The 27,453-nt window shown below is 40.0% G+C and overlaps 1 protein-coding gene across 2 annotated transcripts in view, besides 1 other annotated feature; it reads right to left on the reverse strand.

The window, feature by feature from the left end:
* HSF5 (heat shock transcription factor 5) overlaps nucleotides 1-27,453 on the reverse strand; it is a 68,242-nt gene that overhangs the window by 11,402 nt on the left and 29,387 nt on the right. For both annotated transcript variants that reach the window (NM_001080439.3, XM_011524283.2), the window contains exon 5: nucleotides 27,200-27,377. In NM_001080439.3, the coding sequence (NP_001073908.2) occupies nucleotides 27,200-27,377 (178 nt within the window). The remainder of the gene's footprint in view (nucleotides 1-27,199; nucleotides 27,378-27,453) is intronic.
* Nucleotides 14,443-15,037: an enhancer, noted in NCBI's record as "NANOG-H3K27ac hESC enhancer chr17:56523372-56523966 (GRCh37/hg19 assembly coordinates)". NCBI's record gives its function as "activates a minimal SCP1, AML or CMV promoter by ChIP-STARR-seq in naive H9 embryonic stem cells {active_cell/tissue: H9 hESC(naive)}" and the evidence as "EXISTENCE:reporter gene assay evidence [ECO:0000049][PMID:30033119]".

Consider the following 27,453-nt stretch of genomic DNA (forward strand, 5'->3'; position numbering starts at 1 on the left):
TTGGTTCTATCACTCTGTAAGACCCTGACTAATACACATACCAAAACATATCTTAGTTTTCAGTATCAGAGCATGGTAATGAGATATGGAATGGTGTCTTTTGTAAAACATACACAATTCTTGTTTCCAGCAGAAGAGAACTGTAGAAGACACCACTTGTGTAACCCTATTGGACCTAGCACAGTACCAAGCCCAAGGCAGGCATTCAGTAAGTACTTGCTAAAAGAAACCTGAGGGTGGTTTGACTTCCCAAATATTCAAACCTTACCTCTTAGTGGTTAACTAAAAGACTGCTCATAGAGACAAAATGTAGACATAGACACAGACACAGAAAGTAGAATGGTGGCTACCAGCATTCAGGGGACAGTGGAAATGGAGACTTACTGTTTAATGGGTATAGAGTTTCAGTTTTGCAAGATGAAAAGAGTTCTGGAGAGAAATGGTGGTGATGGTAGCAGTGGCATTAACTGAACTGTACATTTTCAAATGGTTAAGATGGTAAATTTTATGAGCATTTATCACAATTTTTTAAAAGACTGCATTTTTCCATAAATTTTTAAAAAGTACATTAGTAAGATAAGAATGTATATGGAGAAAAAAAGCAACTCATTCATTTATTTATCCAACAAGGAGTGCCACAGGTAATATTCTAGGTCCTGGGGATACAACAATGGGTAAAACAACCACAGAGAACCAACCTTCTAGAAAGAGTGGGGGTGGGAATTATAGAAAAATAGCAAGTAGTAATAGGCACTGCAGAAGAAAAACAAAGAAGAATAAAGACTGAAGGAGGGCAGGACATGGGGAACAGGGTGCCATTTCAGATGGCATGGTCAGGAAGATTTCTGTGATGATCTGGCATCTGAGCAGAGGACTGAATGAAATGAAGGAACACACCATGTGAAAATCTGGGTGAAAAACATTTCAGGCAGAGACAATAGCAAGTGTAAAGGCTGGAGCATTCTTGGTATGCTTAAACAATAGTGAAGAAACTGCTGGGGCTGGACTAGATGAGGGAGATAGAAGGTGGTAGGGGATGAAGCCAGAACAGTTGCCAGGAGCCAAATCATTCAGCATCTTGAAGACCACAGTAAGGATTCTCAGATTTTCTTCTACATATATATATATAGAAAACTATTAAATAAATTTAGATGGGAAAATAATTACTGATTTAAGAGATCACTCTGGCAGAAAGACTGTAGGGGCCAAGAGCAGAAGCAGAAAAACCTTAAGAAGCTACTGCAGTCATCTAGGCAAGAGAAAGTAGTAGCTTGGACCATGGCGACACCAAATAAAGGAGGTGAGAAATGGTCAGATTCTGGATCTGCATCTACAGTGAGCTGATAAGATTTGCTGATGGACTGGACATGTGAGAGAAGGGAGTCAAGGGAGACTCCAAGAGTTGTGGCTGACCAGATGACTAGAAGTACCATTCATTCATTCATTCATTCATTCATTCATCTGAGACAAGGTCTTGCTCTGTTGCCCAGGCTGGAGTGCAGTGGCACAATCACAGCTCACTACAACCTCTGCCTCCCAGGCTCAAGCAATTATCCCACCTCAGCCTTCCGAGTAGCTGGGACCACAAGCACCTGCCACCAAGCATGTTTTTTGTAGAGACATGGTTTCACCATGTTGGCCAAGCTAGTCTCGCTTAAGCCCAAGTGACCTGCCCACCTTGGCCTCCTAAAGTGCTGGGATTACAGGTATGAGCCACCACGCCTGGCCAATACTATTTATTTATAAGTAAATAAGTAAAATTGGGGAAAAGGTAGAATATATTAAGCTTGGGACACCTACTGGACATCCAAAGACGTAGCGTAGGCAGTAGTGTATACAAGTGAGGTTCAGAGAAGATTGAGACTTAAGATACAGATTTCGGAGACACCACTACAAAGGTGATAATAAAAGCATGAGACTGGTTAAGATTACCTAGGAATTGAATAGAGAGAGAGAAAGAATTGAGCTCTGGGGTTCATCAATATTTAGAAATTAGGAAAGTTGAAGAGTATTCAGTAAAAGAAACTACAGAGTTGGCCAGTGAAAACTAGGAAAGGGAGATGTTCCACAAGCCAGAAGAAAGCATTTCAGGAAGGTTGAAATAATCTGTTCAAATGCTGCTGAGGTGAATTAAGTAAAATACGGACTGATAATTGGCTACTGGATTTGGCAACATGGCAGTCATTGGAAACCTTGACAAATGAAGTTTCAGTTGAGCAGAAGAAAGAAAAATCTGCTTGGAGTAGTTGAAGTAAGGATATGCTTCCAAGGAGCTTTGCTCTAAGGAAAGCAGAAAAAGTAGAGGAATAGCTACATGGAGGTATGAAGGAAAGGTCAAAGGGATTTTTTTTTTTTTTTTTTTTAGATGGAGCTTCACTCTTGTCGCCCAGGCTGAAGTGCAGTGGCGTGTTCTTGGCTCAGTGCAACCTCCGCCTCCCGGATTCAATTGATTCTCCTGCCTCAGCCTCCCGAGTAGCTGGGATTACAGGCGCATGCCACCCCGCCTGGTTAATTTTGTATTTTTAGTAGAGACGGGGTTTCACCATATTGGCCAGGTTGGTCAAGAACTCCTGACCTCAGGTGATCCACCCGCCTCAACCTCCCAAAGTGCTGGGATTACAGGCGTGAGCCACTGTGCCTGGCCCAAAGGGATTTTTAAAACATAGAACCTATGACGACATGTTTGCATGCTGATGGGAATTATCTAACATAAAAGATAAAATGTTAGGCCGGGCGTAGTGGCTCATGCCTATAATCCCAGCACTTTGGGAGGAAATCGAGACCATCCCGGCCAACAAGGTAAAACTCCATCTCTACTAAAAATACAAAAATTAGCTGGATGTGGCAGCGCGTGCCTGTAATTCCAGCTACTTGGGAAGAGGCTGAGGCAGGAGAATCGCTTGACCTGGGAGGCGGAGGTTGCAGTGAGCCGAGATCTTGCCACTGAACTCCAGCCTGGCAACAGAGCTAGACTCCATCTCAAAAAAAAAAAAAAGATAAAATGTGGCCAGGCACTGTGGCTCACTCTTATAATCCCAGCACTTTGGAGGCCAAGGCAGGAGGATCACTTGAGACCAGGAAATCAAGACAACCTGGGCAACATGGCAAGACCCTGTCTCTATAAAAATTAAAAAAATTAGCTGGGCATGGTGGCATGAGCCTGTGGTCCCAGTTACTCAGGAGGCTGAGATGGGAGGATTGCTTGAGCCGGGAAGTCGAGGTTGCAGTGAGCTGTATTCACACCACTACACTCCAGCGTGGATGACAGAGGAAGACTCTGCCTTAGGGGGAAAGCAAAAATAAAGATACAATGTGATTATTGAAGAGTAAGGGGGATAGCAGTAGGTCCTAAGTCTGTGAGTACACCAAAGGGGACAGGATTCTGTATACAAATGAAAGGACTGGCCCTTTTCCATTATAACAGAAGGAAAGGCAGCGTGTAGGGTTACAATTGGAAGTAGACTGATAAATATGTTGGTGGGAAGATATGAAAGCTTCATTCTAGCTGCTTCTATTTTCTCAGTAAGATATAAAACAGGGTCACAGCCACGAATGAAGAGAGAGGAGGAGTGTTGGAAACGGAGCAGAGAGGACAGGATATAATAGAGTGGCTTTGGAGAATGGGGAATATATTGACTAGAAAATATTATAGGACTGCTGCAACACTGACAGCCTACGTGAATTTAAAGTGAGACTAAGGCGGGGTGCAGTAGCTCATGCCTGTAATCCCAGCACTTTGGGAGGCCAAGGTGGGTAGATCACCTGAGGTCAGGAGTTCAAGACCAACCTGGCCAACATGGCAAGACCCCATCTCTACTAAAAATACAAAAATCAGTTGTGTGGTGGCTCATGCCTGTAGTCTCAGCTATTTGGGAGGCTGAAGCACGAGAATCGCTTGAACCCAGGAGGCGGAGGTTGCAGTGAGTCGAGATCACGCCACTGCACTCCAGCCTAGGCAACAGAGTGAGATTCCAGCTCAATAAATAAACAAATAAATAAATAAATAGAGACTAGCCATCTGAAAAGTAACCAGTGGTAATAAACATAAGAACAGTAAATATTGGCTGGGCGCTGTGGCTCATGCCTGTAATCCCAGCACTTTGGGAGGCTGAGGCGAGCAGGAGATCGAGACCATCCTGGCTAACATGGTGAAACCCCATCTCTACTAAATATACAAAAAATTAGCCGGGCATGGTGGCGGGCGCCTGTAGTCCCAGCTACTCGGGAGGCTGAGGCAGGAGAATGGTGTGAACCTGGGAGGTGGAGCTTGTAGTGAGCCAAGATCACGCCACTGCACCGCAGCCTGGGCGACAGAGCGAGACTCCATCTCAAAAAAAAAAAAAAAAAAAAAGTAAATGTTATAAAAATAGCTAAAATTCTATTGCTACTATGTATGGACTACTTACTATGTAACCCAGCATAATACTAAGCCAGTTCTATGATTTATATCATTATAATCCATATTCCTCATTTTGCAGATGAGGACACCAAAGCTCAGTTAGGTAAACACGTCCAAGGTCACACAGTAAAGAGCAGAATCCAGGTTTTAATGCAGGTTTTTCTAACACCAAAAGCTTTCTTTCTAACCATATGCTGTACTGTTTTTAATGAGCAGTATATTAATCTCACACATTGACTTTGGTTAAGGTCTCTTAATGCCATGGGACCTTACATATAGCCATGTTTTCATAGACCAACTGCTAGGCCAAGGTCTATCAGAGCAGAATCATTTGCAACTTCATGAATTGTATTTCTGCCTACACTTTAATTAAAAAACTTTTTTTTTTTTTAGCAGAGAGGTTCTAGCTTAATCATAACTCATTTTCCTCTTGTCCATAATAAAATGAAAATGTGATTAGGTGTCATAATGATGCCAAGATTTCACAACTCTTATGTTTCACAGCAGGAAGCCAACATCAATTAAGACTCATCTATTAACTGCACTGACCAAAGGATAAGGCTTTACTTAGAAAAAAAAAACAACAGGAAGAGTTAATAAAGATAATTACTGTGCTAATTATTTTATCAGTTACACTTATAACCATAACATGTAGTGAAAGAGAGGAAATTATTTTTTTAACAGCAGGCACCAGAGTTCCTCTCAGGGAGGTAATTGTCTTTGTTGAGGAATATGTCTCGATAGATTGTTCTGGTTGGGAAAAATGACGCCTTAAAAACATCAAAAAATAGAAGAGATACCTAACCTTCTTTGCCTAAGTAAAACACAGGAATTCAGCACCTGGGGAAAGAGCAGAAAAAAAAAACCAACCATAACAACAACAACAACAGAAAGCAGAGAAACGAAGGTCTGGTGCTAGTACAAGGAAAGAAAGCAACATGGCAGAGGACCATATTGACTAGTGACAAGGAAAGATGCCGTAAAGTGACTGGGGGCCTTTTAATTCCATTTTTGCGGTATTCTAAATATTTCTGTCGGTATTTCTGCCTCCCGACATCTTCATAAAAGTGTGCTACACATACACATGCCTAGCATAATGCTTAAAGGGAGGAAGAGGTCAAAGAAAGTGGGCCAAGTTCTGCATCTGGTATAGCATGGAACAGACAGATAAGAACAGCCCTGGGAGGTCAGATATGGACAAGTCTGGAATTACATTTAAGCAGAAACTCAAAAATAAAAGCTACTGTGAACCCTAGAAAGTCTCAGAAATCTTAGAAAGGCATTCTTGGTATAGGGTAAGTTTATCTTGAGTCAATCATATCTAAACCTCAAAAGTCAGTTTACTATCTGGGATATAAATATTTTTTAAAAACACTCTGAAATTGTTCATTTCTATTACTTTAAGGCTTTTATATTCCTGCTATAGGAACACTTCAAGTATTTAAACTACTTTTAGTATTTTTAGATTTTTTAAAATTTGAAAAACATAGAAGAATACAGATGGTGAAAATTTCCCGTAATCCTATTATATATACATATACAAATTGAGAAGTTAAGCATACCCCTGCACCCATACATTCTATCTTCTGAGAGATAACTAGTGTTATATTTATCAGCTATATCGTATATCTCCAGACTTTTTTCTATAATTTTACAGCATATACTTTCTTTTCTTTCTTTCTAGAAAGGGGGTTGTGCTAGACATATTGTGTTGCAACTTACCCATTTGCTGAACACATTATGAACACTTACTGTCTTTCCAGGTCACAACACATCAAGCTACTTCAGTTTCTTAAATGGTTGCACAGTATTTTATTATGTAGATGTCATAATGTATCTGGTTCCCCACTGTCAGGCATTTATGCTTTTCTCAAATTTTTGCTATTATAAATAACACTATAGCAAACTTATTTTGAGTACCTTTGGGAATATACACATTTCTACAGGAGAGATTCCCAGGAGTAGAGTTCCTGAGTCAAAACTCATAAGCATTTTAGTTATCTATAAATAATGCCAATTGTCCTTTATAGGGCTATACGAATTTACATTCCAATTACAGCATAGAGAAGGTTCCTTTTCTCTATACCTTTATCAAAGCTGGATATTATCAACAGTTAAAGTTTTGCCAATCAAATTGCCAAAAAAAAAAATAATTGGTTGATTTTGGTCAGTGACAGACCATATAGATGATGATGATTCTGTAAGATTGTACTCTATTTTTACTGTACCATTTCTATGCTTAGCTATGTTTAGATACACAAATACCACTGTATTACAATTGCTTACAATATTCAATACAGTAACATGCTGTAAGGGTTTGTAGCCTAGAAGCAATAGGCTATACTATACAGCCTAGGTATGTAGTAGGCAACATCATCTAGGTTTGTGTAAGTACAATTCACAATGTTTATAAAACAATAACATTAACTAATGACATAGTTCTCAGAATACATTCCTGTCATTAAGGGATACATGATTATATGTGCTACTGGCTTTGCAGTCAGGCAGCACATGGTTAGGACACAGCAAGCTAGAATGTTGGTGATCTTTGTTATCCATGCCAACATATTTGGTAAAATCATTACCTGTGACACCATGGAAGTCAGACCACACATGCCAAGTGAACATACAACCATGGGGGAAAAGATTGACAAAAATCACAAGGTGTTGACTATTTCTTGACACATTCAGCAAAGCCCTAAAAGAAGAGATAAACTCAGGCTAGAGGTACCTAGTGTGCAAGCAGAGATGGAAGGGAATATTTGACTGCCTGTGGTTGACAACTTATTGACTAGAGTTCAGTAACTGGGTCATGAATCCAACTGCTTCAATACCCCAACCTGAAGTTGCACTAAGAAGTGCCTTAAGGCCAGGCATGGTGGCTGACACCTGTAATCCCAGCACTTTGGGAGGCTAAGTTGGGAGGATTGCTTGAGACCAGGAGTTGGAGATCAGCCTGGGCAACACAGTGAGACTCCATCTCTTTGAAAAGTAAAAAAAAATCAGCTAGGTGTGGTGGCATGTGCCTGTAGTCCCAGCTACTTCTTTGGGGGGTTGGGGGTAGGTTGGTTGAGGTGGGAGGATCACTTTAGCCCAGAGATCAAGGCTGCAGTGAGCTATGATCGTGCCAGACTAGGCAACAGAGTGAGACCCTGCCTCAAAAAAAAAATAATAATAAATAAAAAAAATTGGTGGTACATGCTGATTAACATTAAGCTAAGCCCAACAGTTGACAAATCTTGTCAACAGAGCTTCTGTAAGCTTTTTAATGCTCCATTCTTGAATAGGGAAGAAAGCCAATGGAAAAAAAAAACAAAAACAACAACAACCAAAAAAAAAAACCAGAAAGAACGTAGAGGAAACTGACATATGTTGTGGGGAAACAACTTCAAAACCAGCCCTTCCATTTAGTATCCTCAGAGAGCTATAAGAAGATATTATATCCATATAAAAGAACAGCAAGTTCCCCCAAAAAGGAACAATTATAGAATAGAATAAAAAAGAGCTGTTAGAAGTTATAATTTTTTTTTTTTTGAGACGGAGTTTTGCTCTTGTTGCCCAGGCTAAAGTGCAATAGCGCGATCTCGGCTCACTGCAACCTCCACCTCCCGGGTTCAAGCAATTCTCCTGCCTTAGCCTCCTGAGTAGCTGGCATTACAAGCATGCGCCACCATGCCCAGCTAATTCTGTATTTTCAGTAGAGACGGGGTTTCACCATGTTGGTCAGGCTGGTCTGGAACTCCCAACCTCAGGTGATCCGCCCGCCTTGGCCTCCCAAAGTGCTGGGATTACAGGCATGAGCCACCATGCCCAACTGGAAATTATAAATTTAGTAGCCAAATTTTTAAAATTAAACATTTGAAAGTTTCATCTGAGGAACATTCCACAAAATAGAAAAAAGATAAAAGTATAACAAAATTGAAAGAAAAAAACAGAGAGAGAAGTTCATCTCAGCATATCCAATACTGGACTAAAGAAAAAATAGGAAAAATGGAAGGGTAAAGAGGTAAGAATTTTTTTTTTTAATGATATGACCACTTCTGGTAATGTCAGGCCTGATAATTAAGACCAGCTTTCCTATTGAAGACAACTAAAAAACCTGGACAGATGATAGAAACAATATTCTTTAAAAGTCTCAAAAGGTAATGAGATAGTAAAGAATGACTGGGCTGAGTGTCAGGTGAGAGTGGGGATCCAGAGAGTAAGCCTTGTATTTGAGGCTACTTTTACCTTTGTGACATTTGCCATCTGTAGGAGATTGAGAGGCTGAGCTTTGCCTTTTGGGTCTAGAGGGACAAATGTCAGAGACTGGGCTTGTCAAAGGTTGAGTTCTGATGAGATTCCCACTTTTATGGCTAGGATCTCAATAAGCTGCACCCAGGAGAGGATGAACCACAGGGAAACAAGCCCTTGCACAGTTTGTGGTCAGAAAAATCTCAGGCTCTGAACTGGATTAAGGTGATCCCTAATTGCCAGTGACCCCAATTGCCTGGTAGAAACAAATCTTATTTGAGGAAGATAATGTCATCCTAGGCCTTAAATTATTTTTACAAGTAACTTTTCAAATACTATTCTTCAAATACTATGTCCAGCATACAGCGAAAATAACCAGTTACATGAGGGAGTAGCCACTGTGGTTGAGAACCAACACAAATGAGACAACTGAAAGAGACCTGTGGAAACTCCATATACTGGAATTACCAGAATTCAGCAAGAAAACAACCATGCTTACTATTTCAAGGAGGCAAATTCCAAGCTTGAAAAATTTTGGCAGATAACTAGAAACTCAAAAATGTGACCAGAGGTCTGGAAAAAAGAACAAACAGAAATCCTAGAATTGAAAAATAATCAAATTAATAACTCAGTGGATGAGTCAAACAGCACATTAGACCTAGTCTCAGAGAAAGAGTGAACATGAAGGTAGAAGAAATAACTCAAAAAGGAAATGTGGAGGAAAAAAATATGAGAGGTTTAAAAAAATTAAGACATAGGGAATTCAGGGAATAGGAAAGATGTGAACAACATAATCAACACTTAATCTAATTGACAGATAGAACACTACATTTAACAACTGCAGAATACACATTACTTTCAAGTGCAAATGGTATATTCACCAAGATAGACCATACACTGGGCCATGAAACAAGTCTCAATAAATATAAAGGATCAAAATTATACAAAATGTATTCTCTGACCACAACACAATTAAATTAGAAATCGATAACAATAAAGTAACTAGGAAAACCTCAAATATCTGGAAATAAATATAAATTTATTTAAATATCTGGGAATAAATCTAAAAATGCATGAATCAAAGACAAAATCACAAGGAAAAAGAAAATATTTTTAACTGAGTGATAATGGAAATACAACACCAAACTTTGCTGGATGCAGCTGAAGCGATGTTTAAAGGGAAATGTATAGTTTTAAATGTTAATCTTAGAAAAGAAGATCTAAAATCAGTGACCTGAAGTTCCACCTTAAAAAATCAGAAAAGGAAGAAGAAAGTAAACCCAAAGTGATACGAGAAAGGAAATAATATAGATAAGAGTAGAAATCAATGAAATAGAAAACAGACAATGGAAAAAATTAACAAATACAAAAGTTGGCTTTGAAAAGAAGTAGGCAACAAAAACTTGATCATTCCAAAAAAAAAGCATATCCCTGAGGACCACTTCAGATGAGTCCATGAAGGATAGTGAACCAGGAAGAGCCCTCTTGGAAGGGAACGCCAGAGGTGATGGAGACAACAAATAGAAAAATACTCCCAGAAAGCAAAAGCAGGGCTTCACTGATGGGCTAACCAAGGAATTTATCCTACTGTCAAGGCAGAAAATCTTTGCAGTTTCCATCCAGCAGGATTTGATAAATGCTGTGAAACAGCGACTGTTGTATGTTTCCTATTTTTCTCTTTTTTGAGTGAAAGTTTTACTTGTTACATATCCTATTCTAATACTCTAATTTGGGTATGTGTGAGTGAGGGGGGAGGATGGATAACTTGTTTTTTATGTTACGAGACAAAGAAGAGCCATCTAACAGAAAAGAATTTCATAATACTCAAGAGATCCTGACTTTAAGCAGGATGCCATAATTGTATGGGTCTTTGGCATTGTCTCTCTTGGGGAGAATGTGAGCATGTTCTGTGTATACTAACATGGCTGTGCTCTGATAATTGGGTAGTCAAAGCAGTGGATTTGGCAGAGGCTGTCCCCCAGAAGTCATTTACCTCTTCTTCCATGGTGGTGGAATGCTTAGGTGGGTACATGGTCACCTAGCCAAAGATTTCTTTTCCAAAACTACCCTAAAATTAATTGGCTGTGGCTATGTGATCAAAGTCAAAGAGTTGTAAACATACAGGATGTATATAACTTTTCACCTTATTTCAAGGGTGAGGTCCTCCAGTACAGTGTTGAAGATAAGTAGGGAAAGTGGCCATCCTTGCCTTGTTCCCAGTCTCTGGGGGGTAAATGGTTTAGCTTTTCACCATTATGATCTTTACTGTACACACTTTATAGATACTCTTTTATTGGTTTGAGGAATTTTCTGCCATTCCTAGTTTGTTGAGAGTTTTTACTATAAAATAGTGCAAAATTTTGTCCAATGCTTTCCCTGCATCTATTAAATGGTCATAGTTTTTCTCGTTTATATTGTTAATATGGTGAATAACATTAACATTTGAAAAATAAGCCTTGCATATCTGAGACAAACCAAGTAGAGTTTGTCTCATAAGTGGAAGAGATGGGCTAGACTTAGTTAGTCCTTTAATTCTTTTTTGTTTGTTTGTTTTTGTTTGAGATGTAGTCTCTGTTGCCCAGGCTGGAGTGCAGTGGTGCCATCTCTGCTCACTGCAACCTCCACCTCCCAGATTCAAGTGATTCTCCTGCCTCAACCTCCTGAGGAGCTGGGACTACAGGCATGCAGCACCACACCCAGCTAATTTTTGCATTTTTTTTTTTTTGAGACAGAGTTTCGCTCTGTTGCCCAGGCTAGAGTGCAGTGGCAGTGATCTCGGCTCACTGCAAGCTCTGCCTCCCAGGTTCATGCCATTCTCCTGCCTCAGTTCCCGAGTATCTGGGACTACAGGCGCCCACCACCACGCCCGGCTAATTTTTTGTATTTTTAGTAGAGACGGGGTTTCACTGTGTTAGCCAGGATGGTCTCAACCTCCTGACCTCGTGATCTGCCTGCCTTGGCCTCCCAAAGTGTAATTTTTGTATTTTTTAGTAGAGACAGGGTTTCACCATATTGGCCAGGCTGGTCTCGAACTCCTGACCCTGTGATCCACCTGCCTTGGTCTCCCAAAGTTCTGGGATTACAGGTGTGAGCCACTGCATCTGATCAGTCCTTTCATTCTTAGTTCCCCAACTTGACGACTGCTGAAACAGAGATTTCTAAGTCCCACCCCTGTCTTTCATTTTTTTTAAAGGAGAAACATCCAATTTCTACCTACCAACGCTCTTCAGAAGGAGGCAAGGATATGTGGATGTGTTAACTACTCTATATATGACCCGTTAATCAACTTGCCTGCTCTCGAGCCCTCTGCCTCAACCCATCCCCTACCAACCAACCCCATCCCTCAGTCTCAAGCATCTCTTCCTTTGTATACACTCAGGAAAGCATCTTGTCTCTGAACCTTTGAATATACTGTTCTTAAATCATAATCAGAGGTATCTATCCTTTAACTTTCTTTTTAGTTTCTCTTGTTATATTAGTTCAGTAGTCTAGTACGTGTAACCATAAAGTAATGAGAATAATTTTTAACAAATATACCCAAACTTATATAAGAGAAACTTTTCCCTCCGGAGTATTATCTGAAAAGGTTATCTGCTTATTCGAGTGACTGTGCCATTACTAAGATGATGTAGAAAAAACATGTGGTTACGTCTGGGGAAGACATAAAGGGAACAGTATGGGGAGGTAGTAGTCAAAGGGAATTCTGGCCTTAGCAGTTCTTACAAGGAGAATGTATTTGTGCACTGTTTGTGAGATTAAAACTTAAAAGTAAAGATTTCATTTACAATAGCATCAAAGAGAATAAAATAGGAATAAATCTAACGAATGAGGCAAAAGACTTTTACACTGAAAATTACAAAACAGTACTGAAAGAAATTAAAGATGACACTAATAAGTAGAACACATTCCATGTTCATGGACTGGAAATATTGTTAAGATGTCTATACTACCCAAAGCAATCTACAGTTCAATACAATGCCTTTCAAAATCTCAGTGAATTTTTTTTAAAGAAATAGAAAAATTCATACTAAAATTCGTATGGAATCTCAAGGGAACCCAAATAGCCAAAACAATTTTGAAAAAGAACAAAGTTAGAGGACTCACACTTCTTGATTTCAAAACATACTACAAAGCTACAGTAATCAAAACAGTGTGCTACTGGCATAAATTCAGCCAAATATATCAATGAATATTCAATAGACTAAATATCACATATATTATTAAATGACCTTCAACAAGGGTGCCAAGCCCACTCACTGGGGAAAGGACAATCTCTCTATTTAACAAATGGTATTGGGAAAACTGGATATCCACATGCAAAAGAATGAAGTTAAACGCTTACACCATATATGAAAACTAACTCAAACTAACTAACTTAGGTCTTTAGGATTAAAGACCTAAATGTAAGACTTAAGACTATAACAATCCTAGAAGAAAACAGAGAGAGATAACTTCACGACACTGGACTTGGCAATGCTTTCCTGGATATGACACACAAAGCACAAGGAAAAGAAAAAACAGCAAAATAGACAGATGGGACTACATCAAACTTAAAAGTGTCTGCTCATCAAAGGACAAAATAGCATAAAAGGCAACTCACAGAATGGGAGAAAATATTTGTAAATCATATTCGCTAAGGGGTTAATATTCAGAATATGTTTTAAAAACTCCTACAACTGAACAACACCAAAAAATCAAACAAACCAATTGAAAAATGGGCAAAAGACTTGAATATACATTTTCCAAAGATGATATACAAACAGCCAATGAGTATACAAATGATACTAAACATCACTAATTATCAGAGAAATGTAAAAAAAAATCAAACCTATAATGAGGTATCTATCAGCTCATGCTCACTGAGATGGCTACTTACAGAAGCCTTCCTTAAAAAAATCCAGGAAATAATAAATGTTGATGGGGATGTGGAGAAATTAAAACTATTTTGCAATGTTGGTGGGATTATAAAATAGTATAGCAGCTATGAAAAACAGTACAGAGTTTCCTAAAAAAATTAAAAATTGGATTAACCATATGATCCAGCAATCCATTACTGGATACATGCAAATGAAATCAGGGTCTCAAAGAGATAGTTGGAGCCAGGCGCGGTGGCACACGCCTGTAGTCCCAGTACTTGGGAGGCTGAGAAAGGAAGATTATTTGAGTCCAGGAGTTTTGAGTCTAGCCTGAGCAACATTGTGAGGCCTCATCTCTTAAAAGGAAAAACAAAACAGATATTTCCACCCCCAAGTTCACAGTGGCACTATTCACAATAGTCAAGGGATGGAAGCAACCTAAATGTCTATTAAGAAATGAATAAACAAAATGTCATATGCACGTACAAAGGAATATTATTCAGCCTTAGAAAGGAAATCCTGTCACGTGCTACAACATGAATGAACCTTGAGAACATAATATAGTCACAAAAATACAAATGCTGCATGATTCCACTTATATGAGGTACCTGGAATAGTTAAATGCATAGAAACAGAAAGTAGAATGGTGGTTACTAGGAGCCAGGGGAAGGAGGAAAAGGAAAGTTGTATTTAATGAATATAGAGTTTCAGATTTGCAAGATAAAAATGTTCTAGAGATCTGTTTCAAACAATGTGAATATACTACTGAACTGTGCACTTAAAAATGGTTAAAATGGGGCTGGGAGTGGTGGCTCACACCTGTAATCCCAGCACTTCGGGAGGCCAAGGTGGGCAGATCACCCGAGGTCAGGAGTTCGATACCAGCCTGCCCAACATGGCAAAACCCTGTCTCTATTAAAAATACAAAAAAATTAGCCAGGTATGGTGGCAGGCGCCTGTAATACCAGCTACTTGGAGGCTGAGGCAGAAGAATCGCTTGAACCCAGGAGGCAGAGGTTGCAGTGAGCCAAAATCGCGCCACTGCACTCCAGCCTGGGCGACAAGAGTGAAACTCCATCTCAAAAAAAAAAAAAAAAAAAGGTTAAAATGGGGCAGAGGCAGAGCAAGACGGCAGTTTTGAATCCTCTAGTGATTCTCCCCCCACAGGAACATCAACTATCCATTCAAGAAAACACCTTCACAAGAGCTGAAGAAATCAGGTGATGAATCACAGTGCCTGGATTTAGCATAACAAGAAAAGACACATTGAAGAGGGTAGAAAGGACAGTCTCACATTGCCCAGAGCACCCTACCCCCAACCCCACGCAATGCAGCATAGAGAAAATCTGTACACTTAAGAGAGGCAAAGGGAAGTATGGGGGAGATTTTGCATTTGAACTTAGTACTGGTGCCATCGCAGCAAAATACAGCAAGGGGCAGAATCCTGTGGCCCTTGATTCCATGCCAGTGCCCATGGAAGGGGCATTCAGATCTGCCCTGGGCCAGAAGATAATCCACTGCCACAGTGGGAAGAAACTGAGTCTTGGCCTGATCCACTGTGGGCTGACTAAAGTGGCCTCAGGTCCTGAATAAATTTCCGTGGCAGGCAGGCCAGAGCAACAGTGGTTCTTGGGTGAGCCCTAACACTGTACTGCTGTGGGAGGCTGTAGGCTTGGGGTGCGACCCAACACAATACCAGTTGCAGTAGCTATCTGAGTGCCACGTCATCCCTGTCCCAGCTCTACACAGTAAAGTGTGGTAAGAGACTACTGTGTAAAAGAGAGAGAAGACCAGGCACAGTGGCTCATGCCTGTAATCCCAGCACTTTGGGAGGCCGAGGAGGGCGGATCATGAGGTCAGGAGTTGGAGACTAGCCTGACCAAGATGGTGAAACTCTGTCTCTACTAAAAATGCAAAAATTAGCCAGGTGTGGTGGCACACGCCTGTAGTCCCAGCTACTTGGGAGGCTGAGGCAGGAGAATCGCTTGAACCTGGGAGACAGAGGTTTCAGTGAGCCAAGACTGTGCCACTGCACTCTAGCCTGGGCGACAGAGCAAGACTCCATCTCAAAAAAAAAGAGACGAAAGAGTGCAGGGGACTCTGTCTAGGAACCTAGTACCAGCCCCACCACATTAAAACACAGCACCTGGCAGAACACCAAAGCCCCTGATTCCACTCTAGTGCTCCTGGATGGTGCTTCTATACCTACCCTGGGCTAGAAAGCAATCTGCCACCCCAGCAGGAAGGACCCAAGTCCCAGCCAGCTTCACCACTGTCTGACTAAAGTGATCTCAGGCCTGAATAAGTATCAGTGGCAGTCTGACAGTAGTGACAGAGGGTCTTAGGCAAGACCTGGTACTGTGCTGCTCTGTGATGCTGTGGGCTTAGGGTGTGATCCAGCATAGCACCGGCTGCCACAGCCATGGGAATACCCATGTCACCCCTCCCCAAACTCCAGGAAGTGCAGCATGGACAGGAACTCCTTCAACTTGGGGGAAAGAGAGGGAAGAGTGTAGGGGGACTTTACTTGAGAACCCAGGGAACTCTCCCTGATCTTCCTCAAGTTCATTAGGACTGGAGACTAGGAGTCTGCAAGAGCTGCAGCGTACGTGGGCTTAGGGTGCCCTCTACTGCTGAGTGGTTACAGTGACCACAGGCTTAGGGAACTCAACAGGCAGTCCTCTTTGAATTTCTGGAAGGCCCTCTGAAGGAGGACAGGTACAAACAGGGCCAGACTGCAAAGACTAGAATAAATACCTAACTCTCTAATGCCCAGATATCGACAAATGTCCACTAATATCAAGAACATTCATCTGGGCGCAGTGGCTCATGCCTGTAATCCCAGCACTTGGGAGGCCGAGGCAGGCAGATCACATGAGCCCAGGAGTTTGAGGCCAGTCTGGCCAACATGGAGAAACTGCATCTCTACTAAAAATACAAAAAATTAGCCAGGCATGATCCCAGCTACTTGGCAGGCTGAGACATGAGAATCACTTGAACCTGGGAGGTGGAAGTTGCAGCGAATTGAGATCAGGCCACTGCACTCCAGCCTGGGTAACAGAGTGAGAACCTGTCTCAAAAAAAAAAAAAAAAAAAAAGGTAGAAAGAAAGAAAAAGAAAAAAGGAAATAGTCAGAGGAGAAAAAAAGAACTAAAAGGAACAAAGAATGCCTATAAGATCTATGGGACAGAATTACAAAGAGCAAATATAAGACTCAATGGCCTTAAAGAAGGAATAAAGAAAAAGGGGTAGAAAACTTATTGAAATAAACAGTAACAGAACACTTTCTAAACCTAGAGAAAGATACAAATATTCAGGTACAAGAAGGTCAGAGATCACCAAGCAGATCCCAAATGAGACTACCTCAAAGCATGCAATAATCAAACTCTTAAAGATCAAGAACAAAGAAAGAATCCTAAAAGCAGCAACAGAAAAGAAGCAAATAACACACAAAGGAGCTCCAGTACATCTGGCAGCAGACTTCTCAGCAGAAACCTTACAGGCAAGAGAGAGTGGGATGATGTATTCTGAGTGTTGAAGGAAAAAAAAATTGCCAATCAAGAATACTGTACCTAGCAAAGCTATCCTTCAAACATGAAGGAGAGATAAAGATTTTCCCAAACAAAAGCTGAGAGAATTCATCACCACCAGACCTGTTTTACTAGAAATGTTAAATGTGCAACAAGAAAACATCTGAAAGTATAAAAATCGTTGATAAAAGTAAGCATACAGAGACATTCAGAATACCCTAATACTGTAATTGTGATATATAAACCACTGATATCTTTAGTGTAAAGCCTAAGACAAAACTATTAAAAATAATAAATACAAAAAGAAGAAAGATTAATAACTACAACAGTTTGTTAAAAGATAGGCAATATAAAAAGATGTAAATTGATAACATCCAGAAGTCAAAGTGTGAAGGGGGATGGAGTTAGTATAGAGTTTAAGGGTTTCTTGTTTGTTTGTTTCTTTTCTTTTCTTTGCAATCAAAGTCAAGTTGTCATCAGTTTAAAATAAATTATAACTGTAAGATGTTTTTTGTAGGCCTTGTGGTAATCATAGACAAAACCCATAACTGATACACTAAAAATAAAAAGCAAGGAATTAAAATAAACTACCAAAGAAAATCACTTACCCACAAAGGAAAGCAGTAAGAAAGGAAGAAAGGAGTTACAAAACAACCAGAAGAACTAACAAAATGGCAGTAATAAGTCTTACCTGTAAGTCATAACTTTGAATATAAATGGACTAAATTCTCCAATTAAAAGACATAGAGTGGCTGAATGGATTTTTTAAAAGACCCAACTATATGCTACCTATAAGAAACTCACTTCACCTATAAAGATACGCACACAATGTGCCGGGCACAGTGGCTCATGCCTGTAATCCCAACACTTCTGGAGACCGAGGCAGGCGGATCACCAGAGGTCAGGAGTCCAAGACAAGCCTGGCCAACATGGTGAAACCCTGTCTCTACAAAACCTGCAAAAATTAGCTGGGTGTGGTGGCAGACACCTGTAATCCCAGCTACTCAGGAGGCTGAGGCACGAGAATCGCTGGAACCTGGGAGGCAGAGGTTGCAGTGAGCTGAGATCATACCACTGCACTCCAGCCCAGGTGACGGAGTGAGGCTCCATCTCAAAAAAAAAAAAAAAATTTTTTTTAATTTTAAAAAGATATGCGGCCGGGCGCGGTGGCTCACGCCTGTAATCCCAGCACTTTGGGAGGCCGAGGCGGGCGGATCACGAGGTCAGGAGATCGAGACCATCCCGGCTAAAACGGTGAAACCCCGTCTCTACTAAAAATACAAAAAATTAGCCGGGCGTAGTGGCGGGCGCCTGTAGTCCCAGCTACTTGGGAGGCTGAGGCAGGAGAATGGCGTGAACCCGGGAGACGGAGCTTGCAGTGAGCCGAGATCCCGCCACTGCACTCCAGCCTGGGTGACAGAGCGAGACTCCGTCTCAAAAAAAAAAAAAAAAAAAAAGATATGCATAGGCTGGACACGGTAGCTCACACCTGTAATCCTAGCACTGTGGGAGGCCAAGGCAGGCAGATCACTTGAGGTCAGGAGTTTGAGACTGGCCTGGCCAACATGGTGAAATTCTGTTTCTACCAAAAAATACAAAAAAATTAGCTGGGCTTGGTGGCGTGTACCTGTAATCCCAGCTACTTGGGAGGCTGAGGCACGAGAATCATTTGAACCCAGGAGGCAGAGTTTGCAGTGAGCCAAGATCGCGCCATTGCACTCCAGCCTGGGTGAGAGAGTGAGACTTTGTCTCAAAAAAAAAAAAAAAAAAAAAAAAAGATATGCATAGAATGAAAGTGAAGGGATGGAGAAGAATGTTCCATCTTTTCCATCATCCAAACAAGAAGAGCATTAGCTATACTTATATCAGATAAAATGGACTTTAAGGCCAGGTGCAATGGCTCACGTCTGTAATCCCAGCACTTTGGGAGGCTGAGGCAGGTGGATCACCTGAGGTCGGGAGTTCGAGACCAGCCTGACCAACATGGAGAAACCCTGTCTCTACTAAAAATATAAAATTAGCTGGGTGTGGTGGTGCATGCCTGTAATCCCAGCTACTTGGGAGGCTGAGGCAGGAGAATCACTTGAACCTGGAAGGCAGAGGTTGCAGTGAGCCAAGATCGCGCCATTGTACTCTAGCCTGGGCAACAAGAGCGAAACTCCATCTCAAAAAAAAAAAAAAGGACTTTAATTAAAACCAATAAAAAATAATGATAAAGGAGGCCAGGCACAGTAGCTCACGCCTGTAATCCCAGCACTTTGGGAGGCCAAGGTGGGCGGATCACTTGAGGTTAGGAGTTTGAGACCAGCCTGGCCAACATGGTGAAATCCTGTCTCTACTAAAAATACAAAAATTAGCCGGGCATGGTGGTGGGCGCCTGTAATCCCAGCTACTTGGGAGGCTGAGGCAGGAGAATCGCTTGAACCTGGGAGGCGGAGGTTGTAGTGAGCTGGGATTGTGCCACCACACTCTAGCCTGACCAACAGAGTGAAACTCTGTCTCAGAAATAATAATGATGATGACGATAAAGGGGTTAATACAGCAGGAGGATATAAAAGTTGTAGGTATATACACACCCAACACTGGAGCACCTAAATATATAATGCAAATATTAACAAACCTAAAAGGAGAGATCAACTGCAAAATAATAATAGTAGAGGACTTAAACACCCAGCTTTCAGCAATGGACAAATCATCCAGACAGAAATCAACAAAGAAACATCAGAGTTAACTGTGCTTTAGACCTAATGGACCTAACAAACATTTACAGAAGATTGCACCCAACTGCTACAGAATATATGTTCTTCTCAACAACATATGGAACAATCTCCAGAATAGACCATACGTTAGGCCATAAAAGAAGTCTTAACAATTTTTTTTAAAACTGAAATTACGTCAAATATCTTTTCTGACCACATGCAATAAAACTAGAAATCAATACAGGAAGAACTTTGGAAACTGTTCAAATACGTGGAAATTAAACAATATGCTCATGAACAACCAATGGATCTACGAAGAAATTAAAAAGAAAATTTAAAAATTCCTTGAGACAAATGAAAGTGGAAATGCAACTACCAAAAACCTATGTGATACAGCAAATGCTGTCCTACGAGGGAAGTTTATGGCAATAAATGCCTACATCAAAAAGGTATAGAGACTTCAAATAAACAATATTATATTACATCTCAAGGAACTAGAAAGACAAAAACAATCTAAACCCAAAATAAGTAGAAGGAAAGAAATAGTAAAGATCACAGCAGAAATAAATAAAATAGTTTAAAAAACAATATAAAAGATCACCAAAACAAAGAGCTGTTTTTTTGAAAAGGTAAGCAAACTAAACAAGCCTTTAGTTAGACTTTAAAAAAAAAAAAAAAAAAGGACGGCCAGGTGTGACTCATGCCTGCAATGCACTTTGTGAGACTGAGGCAGGAGGATTCCTTGAGGACAGGAGTTCAAGACTAGCCTGGGCAACCTAGCAAGACCCTGTCTCTACAAAAAAAAATTTTTAAATTAGCCAAGCATGGTGTCACACACGAGGAGTCCTAGCTACTCAGGAAGGCTGAGGCAGGAGGATCACTTAAGCCCAGGAGTTCAAGGTTGCAGTGAGCTATTATCGTGCCACTGTACTACAGCTTCGCAACACAGTGAGACCCTGCCTCGAAAAACAAAGACAAAAAAACAAAAAAGAAAGAAAGAAATAATAAAAAAACCTCTAAATCAGAGTTGAAAAAGGAGTCATCACAACTAACACCAGAGAAGTACAAAGGATAAGAGACTACTATGAACAACTACACATCAACAAATTGGAAAACCTAGAAGAAATGGATAAATTCCTGAACACATAAAATGTATCAAGGTTGAATCACAAAGAAAGAGAAAACCTGAAAAGACCAATAATGAGCAATAATATCAAAGCAGTAATAAAAAGTCTCCCAGGTGGCCTCGCATGGTGGCTCATGCCTGTAATCGCAACACTTTGCGATGCTGAGGCAGGAGGATCACTTGAGGCCAGGAGTTTGAGACCAGCCTAGGCAACATAGCAAGACTTCATTCCTACAAAAAATTTAAAAATTAGCTAGGCGTCACCGCACCATCTGGGAAGTGAGGCGCACCTCTGCCCAGCGGCCGCACCATCTGCGATGTGAGGAGCACCTCTGCCTGGCCTCCACGCCACCCTCCAGGTGTGAAATGGCAGCCTTGTGTGTGTGATCTTTCTGCCCTCCCCAAGTTTGCATGTTCAACAGTGAAGTTTACTTTTAAATTAAAAGATTTAAATTGGGGAAGATAAAAAAAAAAATAGCTGGGAATGGTGTTGCATGCCTGTGGTCCCAGCTACTCAGGAGGCTGACATCAGAGGATTACTTGAGCCCAGGAGGCTGAGGCTGCAGTGAGTCATAATCACACCACTGTACTTCAGCCTGGGTGACAGAGGGAGACCCTGTCTCAAAACAAACAAACAAAAAGTCTCCCAGCAAAGAAAAGCCTAAGGCCTGATGGCTTCACTGCTAAATTCTACCAAACATTTAAGGCACTAATACCAGTTCTACTTAAACTATTCCAAAAAATTGGAGAGGAAGAAATATTTTCAAACTCATTCTATAAGGCCAGCATTACCCTAATACCAAAACCAGACAAAAACACAACAACAAAAAAAGAAAACTACAGGTCAATATCCCTGAAGAACACACATGCAAAAATCCTCAACAAAATACTAGCAAACCAGGCCGGGTGCAGTGGCTCACGCCTGCAATCCCAACACTTTGGGGGGCTAAGGCAGGCAGATCACTTGAGGTCAGGAGTTTGAGACCAGCCTGACCAACACGGCGAAATCCTGTCTCTACTAAAAATACAAAAATTAGCTGGGCATGGTGGCAGGCGCCTGTAATCCCTGCTACTCAGGAGGCTGAGGCAGGAGATTCACTTGAACCTAGGAGGCAGAGGTTGTGATGAGCTTAAGATCATGCCATTGCACTCCAGCCTGGGCGACAGAGTGAGCAAAACTCCATCTCAAACAACAACAACAACAACAACAACAACAACAACAAATTAAAAAGATCATTCACCATAATCCAAGGGGGATTTATCCCAGGGATGCAAGGAGGGTTCAACATATACAAATCAATCAATGTAATACATTACATTAACAAAATCAAGGATGAAAACCACATGATCATTTCAACAGATGCTAAAAAATCATTCAGTAAAATTCAACATCCTGGCCGGGCATGGTGGATCACACCTGTAAACCCAGCACTTTGGGAGGCCGAGGTGGGCAGATCACCTGAGGTCAGGAGTTCGAGACCAGCCTGGCCAACATGGAGAAACCGCGTCTCTTCTAAAACACAAGAAAAAAAATTAGCCAGGCATGGTGGCACGCGCCTGTAGTCCCAGCTACTTGGGAGGCTGAGGCAGGGGAATCACTTGAACCTGGGAGGCAGAGGTTGCAGTGAGCCGAGATTGCGCCACTGCACTTCAGCCTGGTGACAGAGTGAGACTCTGTCACAAACACTCTGCCTAGGAAAACCAGAGACCTTTGTTCACTTGTTTATCTGCTGACCTTCCCTCCACTATTGTCCTATGACCCTGCCAAATCCCCCTCTGCGAGAAACACCCAAGAATGATCAATAAAAACAAAAACAAAAACAAAACAAAACAAAAAATAAATAAAAAAATAAATAAAAATAAAAAATAAAATTCAACATCCCTTCATGATAAACACAAACTGGTCATAGAAAGAACATACCTCAACACGATAAAGGCCCTGTATGACAAACCCACAGCTAACATTACATTGAATGATGAAAAGTTGAAAGCTTTTCCTCGAAGATCTGGAACAAGCCAAGAATGCCCACTTTCACCACTTTTATTCAACACAGTACTGGAAATTCTAGCCAGACCAATTAGGCAAGAGAAAGAAATAAATGGCATCCAAATTGGAACGGAGAAAGTCTAATTGTCCTTGTTTGTGGATGGCATGATCATATACATAGAAAACCCTAAAGATTCCACCAAAAAAATTGGAACTAATAAATGAATTTAGTAAAGTTGCAGGATACAAAATCAACTTACAAATATCAGTAGTGTTTCTCTATATGCCAATAGTAAACTATCTGAAAAAGAAATCAAGAAACCAATTCCATTTATAGTAGCTACAAGAAAATTAGAAACAAACTTAACCAAGGAGGTGAATTATCCTCACAATGGAAACTATAAAACATTGATGAAAGATGTTGAAGAGGTCACAAATAAATAAATGGAAGGATATCGCATGTGCATGGATTGGAAGATTATTGTTAAAATGTCCATATTACCCAAAGTGATGTACAGATTTAATGCAAGCCTTATCAAAATACCAATGACATTCTTCACAGAAATAGAAAAAAAATTCTTAAAATTCATATAGCAATACAAAAGACCCCAGACAGCCAAAGCAATCCTGAGCAAAAAGAACAGAGCTGGAGGCATCACCCTACCTGATTTCAAAATACACTACCAAAGCGATAGTAACCAAAACAGCATGGTACAGGCATAAAAATAGACATCTAAATCAATTGTAACAGAATAGAGAACCCAAAAATAAATTTATACATTTATAGCTAACTGATTTTCAAAAGTTGCCAAGTACACACATTGGAGAAAGGACGGTCTCCTCAATAAATAGTGCTGGGAAATTTGGATGTCCATATGCAGAAGAAGGAAACTAAACCCCAATTTCTCACCATATATAAAAATCAACTCTAAATTGATTAAATACTTAAATGTAAGATTCAAAACTATGAAACTATTAGAAGAAAACATAGGGAAAATGCTTCATGAAAATGGACTGGGCGAGGACTTTTTGGATAAGACCTCGAAAGCACAGGCAACAAAAACAAAAATGGACAAATGGGATTACAACAAACAAAAAATCTTCTGCATAGCAAAAGACACAATACAATGAAGAGACAACCTACATAAAGAGAGAAAGTATTTGCAAACTATACATTTGACAAAAGGTTAATATGCACAATACATAAGGAATTTAAGCAACTCAGAAGCAAAACAAATAAAAAAACAAAAAACAGTCTGATTTTAAAAATGAGCAAAAGACCTGAATAGACATTTCTCAAAAGAAGATACACAAATGACCAACAGATATATGGAAAAATGCTCAATATCACCAATCATCAGAGAAATGCAAATCAAAACCACAATATCACCTCACCCCAGTTAAAATGGCTATTATAAAAAAGACAAAAAATAACAAATGCTGGCAAAGATGCAGAGAAAAGGGAACTCTTATATGCTATTTGTAGGAATGTAAGTTAGCATAGCATTATAGAAAAACAGTATGAAGGTTCTTAAAAAATTAAAAATAGAACCACTATATAATTTAGCAGTCCCACTACTGGATGTATCTCCAAAGAAGATGAAATCAGTATGTTGAAGAGACATCTCCACACCCGTGTTTACCACAGCACTATTTACAATAGCCAAGATATGGATCAACCTAAATACGCATCTACAGATGAATAAAGAAAATGTGATATATATATATATATGTGTGTGTGTATATATATATATGTGTGTGTGTATATACACACACACACACACACACACACACACGTACGTACATAAATATACAATGGAATACTATTCAGCCATAAAACAGAATGAAATCTTGTCATTTTTGGCAACATAGGTGAACCTGGAGAACATTATGTTAAGTGAAATAAGCCAGGCACAGAAAGACAAATACTACATGATCTTACTCATATATGGAAGCTAAAAAAGTTAATTTCATAGAAGAAAGTAGAATAGTAAATACCAGAGGCTGGGGAAAGTAGGAAAGTGGGGATATTGGGAGAAGTTGGTCAAAAGTTGTAGTTAGATAGGAAGAATAAGCTTTGGTATTCTATTACACAGTAGCATAATTGTAGCAAATAACAATGTAGTGTATATTTCAAGACAGCTAGAAGAAAAGGTTTAGAGTGTTATCACCACAAAGAAATGATAAATGTTTAGAGTGATGGATATGGTAATTATCTCAATTTGATCATTACACTACATATACATGTGTCAAAAAATCACATTGTACCTCATAAATATGTACAATTATATTTAAATTATAAATTAAAAATAAAAATGGTTAAAATGATAAATTTTATGTTACATGTTCTTCAACACAATAAAAAATTAAAAGGAAAGAATATGTGCTCTACAGGCAGACAACTTAGGGTAGGATATTAGCAATATTAGTTTATATGTGACTGGCCATGCATGGTGGCTCATGCTCATAATCCCAGCACTTTGAGAGGTCAAGGCAGGAGGACTGCTTGAGCCTAGGAGTGCAAGACCAGCCTGGGCAACATAGTGAGACCCCATCTCTATAAAAAATGAAAAAAGGCAGCTGGGTGCAGTGGCTCATGCCTGCAATCCCAGCACTGTGGGAGGCCGAGGCAGGCAGATCACCTGAGGTCAGGAGTTCAAGACCAGCCTGGCCAACATGGCGGAAACCTTGCCTCTGCTAAAAATACAAAAATTAGCTAGTCGTGGTGGAGTGTGCCTGTAATCCCAGCTACTCAGGAGGCTGAGGCAGGAGAATCACTTAAACCTGGGAGGTGGAAGTTGCAGTGAGCCAAGATCACGCCATTGCACTACAGCCCGGGCAACAGAGCAAGACTCTGTCTCAGAAAAAAAAAATAATAATAATAATAAAGAAAAGGAAAAGGAAAGAAAAGAAAAAAGGGCCAGGCATGGTGGCTCATGCCTGTAATCCCAGCACTTTAGGAGGCCGAGGTGGGTGGATCACTTGAGGCCAGGAGTTCAAGACCAGCCTGGCCAACATGGTGAAACCCCATCTCTACTAAAAATACAAAAATTAGCCGGGTGTGGTGCCACGCACCTGTAGTCCCAGCTACTCGGGAGGCTGAGCCATGAGAATTGCTGGAATCTATGAGGTGGAGGCTGCAGTGAGCCAAGATGCGCCACTGCATTCTAGCCCGGGCAACAGAGAAAGACTCTGTCTCTAAAAAATGAAAAAATAAAACAAATTTATATGTGACTTTGAACAAGTTACTTACTCTAAGCCTAAATTTCCTGATGTTTAAAATGACAATGCCACTTCCAACAGATTTGTCCTATGGCACAAAAATGGATACGGTAAATGTTAGTTCCTGCCTTTCTCTCATCTAAATTGCCTTCAAGGCTCATGCCATTGTGTTAAACACCTTCAGTGGTAAGAAATCTTTAGTCTTTAATTATGGATTGGAAAATATAATCAACTAAAAGTGTGCAAGCTAAATTTAGTGAATAAATGATAGACAGTTTTTAGCCTAAAAGACATTTTGCAGAAAGAACCCTATGAGTCTGAGCTACACCATGATCATATCACTATTAATTTACTTTTTGGAAAAATTCTCACAGAAGTTCTCAACATTTTTCAAATTATTGTAGGTTAAAATGATGGTCTGTCATTTTAACCTACACTGTCATTCTGCCTGCACTGCATGCCCCTGACATGAACATAATTCTAGAATATTAAAATTGTCCACTGCAGACTTTGGTAACTTGATTTTTGGATGATATGAGACACATGTTTTATTAGATGTTACTATTTCTTCAAAAAATATGATTTTGTCTTATTAGAATCAACTGTATGTGCCTAAAACAATCACTTATTCTGGGTTCTTACAAACCACAAGAATAACAAACCATTCATTGGTATAGGGTCATACTTTATAGTATCTTTAAAATGCGCTCAGGATAATATCCTAAATTTCCATCTGATTTTCTCTTGTCACAATATAAATGCATGCCCTCTTGTCCTAGAGTCTGTTAATAACAGAGTAAGTACAACTACAATTTCGAAGTCTGGCATCTGAGGATACTTATTAAATCATCCTTCATCCTTGCCTTCTCCAAGTTAAATAATCTAAATTCCTTTGCTTATTCTTAATATGTTCTATATTTTCAAAGCCCAAATCATTATATGCAATATTAAGAAAATAACTATTACATACTTCACAACAATAATTAAGAACAAATATAGAGTTAAAATTACAGCTATGTAAAAACAGCAATGTGACAGGTCTAATACAATTATGAATAATAAATGGAGACCCAGAAAAAATGTCATTCATATATTAATTCTACAGCGTGATTCTACTTCTGGCATTCTAGAGCACAATAATCCTTACCAGGGGACTTTCCTTGTTGTGAGTTGCTTCTGTGCTCTCTGTATCTGGCTGGAGTGGCTAAACCTGTGTCTTCACTAGGCTTGCTAGCAGGCCCCATTTCTGAAATGAGGAATCCCATCTGTTCTGACGGCAAGATATTCTCACGTGAACTGGTCTGGCATTTTATGTTGGCATCCACCTAAAATATTAAACCCATTCATTATTTGAGATTTCCTCCAAATATCTGCTAAAAGTTAAGATATTTTATCAGAGGA

The sequence above is a fragment of the Homo sapiens genome, chromosome 17 (assembly GCF_000001405.40).
Source record: "Homo sapiens chromosome 17, GRCh38.p14 Primary Assembly".
In the NCBI taxonomy this organism is placed as follows: domain Eukaryota; kingdom Metazoa; phylum Chordata; class Mammalia; order Primates; family Hominidae; genus Homo; species Homo sapiens.